Genomic DNA, 11,155 nt, shown 5'->3' with positions numbered 1-11,155 from the left:
CATCCCAGCACTGCCACACCACCCTCTGGCTGCCATCACTTTGAATGAGAAGCAAATAGGTTCAGTGACTTCCAATCCTGCTAGAGCAGGGAAGGGATTGATTTGCCTTCTGACTGGAGGCAAGGGGGCCCATGTTAACCACTGCAATGTCACAGGCAAATCAAGAGCAGGCAAGGGTGTCTGCGACTGGGGAGCGGGGTGCTGTGGGGAATGGAGAAAAGTATTCAAGACTGAAGTACTTAGCATCGTTAAAACCATAAAGATGGAAAGCAGAATGCTGGTTGCCAGGGCCTGGGAGAAGGGGAAATGGGGAGTTAGTGTTTCATGGGTATAGAATTTCAGTTTTACAAGAGGAAAAGGGTTATGGAGATGGATGGTGGTGAGAGTTGCACAGCAATGTGAATGTACTTAATGCTACTGAACTGTACAGCTAAAAATAGTTAAGATGGTCATTTTTATATTATGTGTATTTCACTACAGTAAAAAAATTTTTTTGAGAATAAAAAGGACATACACTAGCTGTTAGAATGCAGCTCATGTGATTGTAAACGTGCATCTGAGTGTGTGTGGGGGCCTGTTCCCCTGCCCCCATGCTCAGCCAAGCTTCCTCCACCAGCAGCGCATGCCACATGGCCAAGCCCCCTGGGGACGGCTGCAGGTGGGCATCCTGCCCTGGCCATGCTCCTGCTCTGGTCCTGCTGCAGCCTCTCCCCATTGGGTGCTAATTTTCTGCCAGTGCCCCCTACCTAGCCCTGTGAGATGTGCTCATCGAGGCCATTGTGGGCTGCAGGACCATCCTGGGTCAGCTGCATGTTGGGAGGGCCAGAGGGGGGCAACTCTGTCTAGGTGGAAGATCAAAGACAGGCCTTCCAGGTGAGGGGCCAGGTAATAGGCACAGGAATGTGTGAGCATGTACAGGACAGCACACTCTCCCTTTCGCCTGAAGTGGATGGTGGGAGCACAGGGCAGAGGGTAGGGGGCGGGGAGACCCAAGCAGGAGTAGGTTGTTAGGGCTGGACTGGATAGTGAAGAGACAGCCCCAGGAGCCTGCTCTCTTTGGCTCGCAGCCTTGAGAAAGGAGCAAGGGCTTCCTGCAGCCGGTTCACACAGGGGTCCCTCTCCTCACTTGGGGGCAGTGTCTTACGGTCACTGCTGGGAGAGAAAGGAGTGGGGCCCAGCTCTGCTCAGGACCCAAGAGGGCCTAGAGCCCCACACTCAACAGGGGACTGGCCTTCAGCGAATTTCCCAAGGATGAAGGAAGGCTGGGAAAAGCCTGTGATCATTTCCCAGGCCCCTCACAGGCCTCCCAGGAGACCCATGCAGAGGGCGCTGGCCTCTGCACGTCCCCAGCATTTTCCTGGAGGTCACACTTTCCCAGCCAAGAAGGATGTCGAGTGCCTGGGAGCAGAGTCACAGAGGTGAGGACTTCCTTGGCCCTGCCCAGATGCCAGTGCCCTGGGGGAACAGCTCCCTGCCCAGGAGCTGGTGCCATCAGAGGTGCACTGAGAGGCGGCCAGGTCTACCTACACTCAAAGCCTGCTCTTTGGCATGCCCCAGTCCTGCGAGAAGGATCCTGGGTGACTCACTTTATGAGGCTCCTTGCTCTCCAACAAAGCTGTTTAATGTTTATTGCATTGTAAAAATCGAGCTTTTTCACATATGTTTCCTACCGCCCGCTGTGTCTTCTACAGTGGGCTCCCAGAATGGGGACTAGGGGGAGGCAGCAAAGGCAGTTGTCTGACATCTCACTCCCTACTTTGCAGCCCCTCTGCCTGCTCTGCCTCCCCTACTGACAAAACCCCAGTTTCAATCAGGCTGTAATATGTTCAGCTATAAGTGGCCTAAACCAATCATAGCAACCCCAGCCCCTGTGCTCTTGACTGGCCAGACCCTTATCAATGGCATGTAAGTAGCTTCTGGGAAAATACCTAGTTACATCCATAGGGAGAGGTCCATCCCCTTCTTCCCTTGGCAGTCACCTTGCTGCCACTGGCATGCCTAGAGATTGGCAGAGGGCTGACCTAGGGCCCTGGCATGGTTGAGTGGTTGTGACCCATTTCATTCTGCATTGTATTTTTTTTTTTGAGACGGAATCTCACTCTGTTGCCCAGGTTGGAGTGCAGTGGTGTGATCTCGGCTCACTGCAACCTCCGCCTCCTGAGTTCAAGTGAATCTCCCTGACTTAGCCTCCTGAGTAGCTGGGATTACAGGCACCCACCACCATGCCTGGCTAATTTTTTGTAGTTTTAGTAGAGACAGGGGTTTCATCATTTTAGCCAGGATGGTCTCGATCTCCTGACCTTGTAATCTGCCTGCCTCAGCCTCCCAAAGTGCTGGGATTACAGGCGTGAGCCACCAGCCTAGCCTCTGCATTATATTTTAAAGTTGATTTGCTGTCACCACTCTTACATTTTACAAGGAAGACAATACCTTTCACCATGTTCCTAAATTTAAGAAAACCTGCACAGTCCTCTTTTATAAGGTGAGTAAATGAAAGTGAGATCAATGAAGTCAGGTTTAATAATCACCTCAACTGGTAGATAAGATCAAATGCCTATGCCAAACACAATTTGCAGTTTTGTGTGAACAAAAGTTTTCTACAACACACATCCTGGCAGATGTTACTGTAACAAACATATCCTGGTCTCAAGATTGTAAGTCAATCAATGATCTTTAGGACTATTACTATTAGAACTAACACTATTTCAGAAAAACTCTATGCCCTTCTCAATAAAAAAACTTGGAAACTGAATTTTATGATAAAAATAGGGGGGACAAGGTATAGATTTAACTTACCTTGTTTGGTAATAGGTATGGAAATATTTGCTAACTTTTCTTTGTCTTATAATGGCTGACTCAGAGCTTGTCTTCCTAAAGCATGTATGTCATTAGACACCCATTCTGTCATAGTTCTTCAATAACTATGGATTCAGACTTGCAGGCTTGAGCTTGGATTAAACTCTTATAGCCAAAGCTGAGTTTAAAAATGTATGGCTTGTAAGTTTTTGTTTCCACAAACTCATGAGCCAATCTTGGAACTCCTACTTCTAGGTCTTTGTTATATTAATTATAATATAATTAAACATTTTTATTATTAAGTCTAGTCATTTGGGTTTTCTATTACTTGTGGCCAAATGCATTCTTTTTTTTTTTTTTTTTTGAGACAGAGTCTTGCTCTGTCACCAGGCTGGAGTGCAGTGGCTTGATCTTGGCTCACTGCAACCTCCACCTCCCAGGTTTAAGCGATTCTCCTGCTCAGCTTCCCAAGTAGCTGGGACTACAGGTGAGCACCACCACCCCCAGCTAATTTTTGTATTTGTAGTAGAGACAGGGTTTCACCATGTTGGCTAGGATGATCTCGATCTCTTGATCTCATGATCCACCCGCCTCGGCCTCCCAAAGTGCTGGGATTACAGGCATGAGCCACAGCGCCCGGCCTCTTTTTTTTTTTTTTTTTTTTTGAGTCTCACTCGGCCACCCTGGAGTGCCGCCCTCACTCTGCCGCCAGGCTGGAGTGCAGTGGCATGATCTCGGCTCACTACAACCCCGCCTCTTGGGTTCAAGCGATTCTCCTGCCTCAGCCTTCCAAGTAGCTGGGATTACAGGCGACTGCCACCACGCCAGGATAATTTTTGTATATTGAGTAGAGACAGGGATTTCACCATGTTGGCCAGTATGGTCTGGATCTCCTGACCTGGTGATCTGCCCACCTCGGCCTCCCAAAGTGATGGGATTACAGGCATGAGCCACCACGCCCAGCCCAAATGCATTCTTAACTAGCACAGTGATTTCCCAGTAAGGAATCCATAGAAACATGTCCAATGAACAAGTTTTCCCTTCTAGGGTTTCCCATCAGAGCTGATTACGCTCAAAGCCTTGAAGACATCATTGACCCTTCCTTCACTCACCTCCACCCTCCTAATCTACCAACTACTTCCCCAAGATATTTTGAACTGGTCCATTTCTCCCTATTTTTTGCCACCAGTGGAGTTCCAGCCCCTCTTTTATATCTTGCCTCTGCTATTGCAGTCCCCTCCCAACTGATCTTGCTGCTTCCATGTTCTCCCTCCTCGAAGCAGGCAGAGTAATCTTTGAAGAGTGCAAATATGATTCTTGCTCTCCATCCGTAAACTATTTCATGGATTCTCCTTGGACACAGGGGAAGAGTTTAAAAAATAGCAATTTCTATTTCTTCTTTTCAAAAGTTATTATTACTATTTTAAGTTGGGTGCAGTGGCTCATGCTTGTAATCCCAGTACTTTGGGTGGCCAAGGCTGGAGGATTGCTTGAGCCCGAAAGTTCAAGACCAGTCTAAGCAACATAGGGAGACCTTGTCTCTTAAAAAAAAAAAAAAAAAGAAAAATTAGCCAGGTGTGGTGGTGCACACCTGTAGTCCCAGCTACCTGGGAGGCTGAGGCAGGAAGATCAATTGAGCCTGGGAGGTGGAAGCTGCAGTGAGTCATGATTGTGCCACTGCACTCCAGCCTGGGCAACAGAATGAGACCCTGTCTCAAAAAAAAAAAAATAGTATTATTTTAGACTTCAGATCATGAGCATCAAAAAATTATTTTATTTTTACATCAACAAAAATATTGTACGCATTTACTATGTACAGCATGATATTTTGAAGTATATATACATTGTGGAATTACTAAATCTGACTAATAAACTAATGCATTACCTCACATAGTCATCATTTTTGTTTTGTAAGGAACACAACATCTTATTAACTATATTTACTATTATTGCTATTATATTTACTAATATACTATTAACTATATTTACTATTATAGCTACTATTAACATAGTCCCTATGTTTAAAATAGATCTCTCGAACTTTTTCCTCCTGTCTAACTGAAATTTTGCGTCTTTTGGCTAGTATCTTCCCAACCACTCTGCTCCCAACCACCACAGCCCCTGCTAACCACCATTTTACTCTCTGCTTCCCTAAGATCAACTTTTTTAGAGTCCACATCTAAAAAGGGGGTGAGATTATGCAGTATTTGTTTTTCTGTGCCTGGCTTGTTTCACTTAACATAATAGCCTCCAAATTCATTCACGTTGTCACAAGTGACAGGATTTTGTTTTCTGTTTTGTTTTGAGACAGGGTCTCACTCTGTCACCCAGGCTGAATGCAGTGGCACCATCACAGCTCACTGCAGCCTTGACCTCCTGGGCTCACGCGAGGCTTCCGCCTCAGCCTCTCAAGTAGCAGGGACTACAGGCACATCCCACCACGCCTGGCTAATTTTTGACTTTTTGTAAAGACAAGGTCTCACTATGTTGTCTAGGCTGCTCTCAAACTCCTGAACACAAGTGATCCTCCTGCCTTGACCTCCGAAAGTGCTGGGATTACAGGCATAAGCCACCATGCCTGGGTGATTTTAATACTTTTTTTATAGTCGAATGGTATTCCATTGCATATATATATACCACATTCTTTTTATCCATTTATCTATTGATGGACATTTAGGTTGATCCCATATCTTGGCTGTTGTGAATAGTGCTGCAATAAACATGAGAGTGCAGATGTTTCTTTGTCATACTGATTTCATTTCCTTTGGATATATACCCAGAAATGGGATTGCTGGATCATATGGTAGTTCTATTTGTAGTTTTTTGAGGAATCTCCATCTTATTTTCCATAATGGCTGTATTAATTTACATTCCACCAACAGTGTGCAAGTGTTCCCCTTTTCTCCACATCCTTGTCAACACTTCTTATCTTTTGTTTTTTTTTATAACAGTCATTCTAACAGGTATGAAGTGATATCTCATTGTGGTTTCAATTTGCATTTCTCTGCTGATTAGTGATGTTGAGCATTTTTTCATATATCTGTTAGTTGTAGGTCTTCTTTTGAAAAACATCTATTCAGGTCCTTTGCCCATTTTTTAATTGGGTTATTTGTTTTCTTGCTATTGAATTGTTTGAGCTCCTTATGTATTTTGAATATTAACCCTTTATTGGATATATAGTTTGCAAATATTTCTCCCATTCTGTAGGCTGTCTTGTACTGTTAATTGTTTTCTTTACTATGAGAAGCTTTTTAGTTTGATATGATCTCACTGTCAACTTTTGCTTTTATTGCCTGTTCTTTGGGCGTCATATCCAAAAAGTCATTGCCCAGACCAATGTCATAGAACTTTTCTTATATGTTTTCTTTTAGTAGTTTCATAGTTATGGGTCTTACATTTAAGTTTTCAATTCATTTTGAGTAGATTATTGTATATGGTGGGAGATAAGGGTCTAATTTCATTCTTTTGCATATGAATATTCAGTTTTCCCAACATCATTTATTGAAGAAATTGTTCTTTCCCCATTGTGTGTTCTTGGCTCTTTTGTTGCAAATCAATTGGCTATAAATGCATAGATTTATTTGTGGGTTCTCTGTTCTGTTTCATTGGCTTATGAGTCTGTTTTTATGCCAGTACCATGCAGTTTTGATTACTATCACTTTGTAGTATATTTTGGAATCAGGTAGTGTGATGCCTCCAGCTTTGTCCTTTTTGCTCAAGATTGCTTTGGGCATTCGAGGTCTTCTGTGGTTTCATACACATTTTAGAATTGTTTTTTTCTATTTCTGTGAAGAATGTCATTGATATTTTGATAAGGATTGCATTGAATCTGTAGATCGCTTTAGGTAGTATGGACATTTTAACAATATTAATTCTTCCAATCCATGAACATTGGATATCTTTCCATTTATTTGTATCTTCCTCAATTTCTTTCATCAACATTTTATAGTCTTTAGTATAGAGATCTTTCACCTCTTTGGTTAAATTTATTCCTAAGTATGTAGAAGACCTTAAACCTATAGCATGGTGTATAAGTTTCCTGTTGCTGCATATCAAATTACCACAAATGTAGTAACTTAAAAGAACACACATGTATAATTCCAGTTTCTTAAGTCAAGAGTTTGGGCACAGCTAAACTGGGTCTTCTGGCCAGGACCCCACAAGGCTGTAGTCAAGGTGCGGATGGGGACCATGATCTCATCTGAGACTTGCTCATTTTCAGCAGGTCCCTTGCAGCTATAGGTCTGACACTCAGCCTCTAAAGACTGCTTGATGTTCCCTAACACATGGTCCTCTCCACAACATGGCAATTTGCTCCCTCAAGGTCAAGGAGAGAACATCTCTGCTGGTTCTTCTGACTCTGACATCTAGACCCTTTTTAAAAAAATTATGGCATAATGCACGTAACAGAAAATTGACCATCTTAATCATTTTTAAGTGTACAGTTCAGTGGCATTAAGTACTTTCACATTGTTGTCTCTGTAATTTTAACTACTTTAGGTACCTCATATAACTGGAGTCATACAGTATTCGTCTATTTGTAACTGGCTTGTAGGCCTTCCATTAAATGGCTCACATCAACTGACCTAATGGTCATCCACCCAAGAAGATAATGTTCCAGGCTGGGCACAGTGGCTCACGCCTGTAATCCCAGCACTTTGGGAGGCTGAGGTGGGTGGATCATCTGAGGTCAAGAGTTCAAGACCAGGCTGGCCAACATGGAAGCCCCATGTCCACTAAAAATACAAAAATTAGCCGGGCATGGTCGCACATGCCTGTAATCCCAGCTACTCGGGAGGCTGAGACAGGAGAATCACTTGAACCCGAGAGGCGAAGGTTGCAGCAAGCTGAGACTGCACCATTGCACTCCAGCCTGGGCAATAAGAGCGAAACTCCATCTCAAAAAAAAAAAAAAAAGATAATATTCCTTTTTATCAATTAAAGTCAACTGATTAGGAACCTTAATCACATCTGCAAAATCTCTCTACTTTTGCCGTAAAATGTAACCTATTTACAGGAGTGACATCCCATTATATTCACAGGTCCAACCTGCACTCAAGGGGAAGGGATAATACAGGGTGTGTACACAGGGGGAAGGAATCTTGGAGCTCATCTTAGAATCCAGCCTACCACAGTGGCCTCTAAGGCCTTGCATGGTCTGGCCTCTATGTCTCTCTCCCTCTGACTTGGTCCAAGCCATTGTCCTCATTGTCTGCCCTCCTTTGGCCACACTAACCTTCCTGTGCCTGAAGTATCAACCTCTGAAATAAGTTGTTCCCATTTCTGGAACACTTCCCCCTAACTCTTCACCTGGTTAATTCCTACTCACTCATTCTTTAAGTCTCAACATAGAAGGTCCTCTAAAGTTCTCAAAACTAAATGAAGACCCTACTATATCCTTTCATGACATCCTGTACTTTTTTTTCTTTTTTTTTAGACAGAGTCTCCCTCTGTCACCCATGCTGGAGTGCAGTGGTACGATCTCGGCTCACTGCAACTTCTGCCTCCCGGGTTCAAGCAATTCTCCTGCCTCAGCCTCCCACATCCTGTACTTTTAATTCAAACACATATCACAGTCTGTAATTCAATATTTATCTGTGGGATTATTTCTTTCATGTGACTCTCCCCACTAGACAGAAATCTCTATTACAGTAGAACCCATGTCTGTTTTGTTTGCCATTGTATCTCCAGCCCCTTGTATAGCACCTGGCACTTGGGAAGCTCTCATTAAACATTGATGGACTGACTGACAGGCTGAATGAATGGAAAAAAATATACCAAGACAGTCATAACCACAAATTGCTTCCCCATTAATCTTTAGAAGCAGGAAGCTGAACAATGTTCTTGGTGGTAGAATTCACCACTCCTTATATTAGTGAAGATACAAGTAAGGTGACAGACACCTCGAAATACAGTGACTACAAAGGCTCAAATAAGATAGAAGTCTATGCCTTGCCTATGAAATTGGTCAGAAGTCGACTGGCAGTACAAGGTGGGAAGGCCATTTGGTTTAATGAGGTTGTCCACATCATCAAAACTGCTCACTCACCAGCACCATGTCCACAATGCAGTCCACAGAACAGAAGAAAAGTGGAGGACAAGCCATTTACTGATAATAGTGTGATCTGTAAGTTGCACACATCACTGCTGCTCACATCCCATTGGCTCAGACTTAGCCACATGATCACACCTTGCTGCAAGCGAGGCTGGGAAATGAAGTCTTTACTTGGGCAGCCATAAGCCCAGCTTAATCTCAAGACTAAATCTATTAATACAAAGAAGGAAGGGAGAATCGGTGGTAGTTCCTGCCACCCTCATGCCTGTGTAACTCTTCTTTTCAAATACACTTTCTTGTCTATTATCTCAATCCCACAGGTTGAACGTGGGCTGGTCTTTGGAAACACATATTCACGTAATAGCTTTGACTCATTTTGCAAGCTTAAATCAAAGTATCTGTTGCTTTTTCCCTATTAGTTGCCTGAGCACCCATTTGCGTATATTAGCAGGGAGGTCTGGCATCTCTTTTTTGAGATGGAGTCTCGCTCTGTGCCCAGGCTGGAGGGCAGTGGCACGATCTTGGCTCATTGCAACCTCCGCCTCCCAGGTTCAAGCAATTGGCCTGCCTCAGCCTCCCTAGTAGCTGGGATTTTGGTGTGCACCACCATGCCTGGCTAATTTTTCTATTTTTAGTAGAGACGGGGTTTCACCATATTGGCAGGCTGGTCTCAGATTCCTGACCTCAAGTGATCTGCCCACCTTGGCCTCCCAAAGTGCTGGAATTACAGGCGTGAGACACAGCACCAGGCCTGGCATCTTTTTTTTGAGGCTTTCCTCTCACTTTTCCCCACCCCATTGCCAACACCATTGCCCAAGGACCCCTAGAGGCTGACCATCCAAAGAGCCCAGTCTGCCCCAGCCACCAGGCCTAGAGAAGAGGCTGGGATTTGGGATTGTTCTTGTTGCTTCTGTTGCCACCATGCTGTGTCTTGGTTAAAAACTAGTCCTGCCCCATATGTTGCAGCTTTGTCCCTTCTACAGTGATGACCTCATTGGCCTGATTCCCCAGGAGCCTCCTGAGCAGGAACTCCAAGTTCACCCTTCTATGCTCAGCCTCAGCAGAAGTTGTGTGTGTCTGAGTGTCCAGGGCATTATTATACTTGTTCTTGTACTTGGCCAGGAGCAGCCTTTCCCCACAATCCTCTAGGCCTTGTTGCCCTCCTTTTCTTTCACGATAATGATGTCCTGAGTAGGGTCTCTTCCAATCCACAAGGGAGGTCCTAATGACAGTGATATTCAGAGGGGAAGCAGTTGGGGGTCTTAATTCTGCCTCCCCAGGAACTTCCTTGTCCCCCAGGCAGCCATCTCTGCATACAGAGGGTGCTGGGTGAAACAGATCTTGCTTGGCTGCCAAGGCTCCTACTATACATTGGCCCTGTGGCAATAGGGGCCCCTTTTTTTGTTTTTGCACAATTCAGAGTGGCCAGTAAGGTTCAGGGGGAGAAGACAACCAAGATCTAATCCAAGGTGACTCTCAATATCCACAGAGATGGAAAAGTTATTGGCAGCTTTTCTCTCTAAATGTACTTACCCCTCATCGAGCCCCCAGTCACATATGGGAAGGAGGCAGAGGCTCAAAGGTATGAACTGGCCAAGGTCACAGAGCCAGCCACCAGACAGACCGTGGTGTCATGCCTCCTGGCTCTGACCACCCTGATTCTGATGTGTCTATGCTTGGGCCCCACGTCTCACCCAGAAGGCTGACTTGTGTCACTTCAAGCACTTTCTTCTGATTAACACCTCTTTGTTTCCAAAGTCATTGCCATTATTTACTTTGAAAGGTTCTTCTCTCTTTAGCCTGCCCTTTGGAGGGACTGATAATGCTGCCCAGGCGTGGCTTCATTTATTGTCTGTGAGTGTTCATCCAAGAATTACCTGGTACCTTGATTCATTCATCATGGGGTGTCCTTCCACTCACATTTCATTGGCCAAAGCAGATTACATGATAGCATCTAACTTCAAAGAAGGCAAGAAAATACAACCTTACTATGGGGATGAGAGGAGGAAAAACTGATTATCTATGCACCACTGTAATGACTATCACAGCTTTTATGAGAGGATTCCTATGTGCTTTGTGGAAACCAATGCATTTCACCTAAAATTCTTCAAATCTATATCTATAGTAAATCTCTAACAGATCAGCTTGTTGACTCTGCGAGAAAAGAAAATGAGATTAATTTGACATGATATATTCTTAGAAAATATATTGGCTTCCAATGATTTGTATTTTTTCTTTTAACTTAAAAATATTCCAATTTAAATTCTTCTTATTTCTAATTTATATTCTATGTAGTCACAACCT

General features: G+C 44.1%; 1 annotated feature.

The window, feature by feature from the left end:
- Positions 542-1,042: an enhancer, noted in NCBI's record as "H3K4me1 hESC enhancer chr2:86239243-86239743 (GRCh37/hg19 assembly coordinates)". NCBI's record gives its function as "activates a minimal SCP1, AML or CMV promoter by ChIP-STARR-seq in primed H9 embryonic stem cells {active_cell/tissue: H9 hESC(primed)}" and the evidence as "EXISTENCE:reporter gene assay evidence [ECO:0000049][PMID:30033119]".

This window comes from Homo sapiens, chromosome 2 (assembly GCF_000001405.40).
Source record: "Homo sapiens chromosome 2, GRCh38.p14 Primary Assembly".
Classification (NCBI taxonomy): domain Eukaryota; kingdom Metazoa; phylum Chordata; class Mammalia; order Primates; family Hominidae; genus Homo; species Homo sapiens.
The sequence above is the reverse complement of the archived record's forward strand: the minus strand, read 5'-3'. Positions and strand labels throughout refer to the sequence as shown.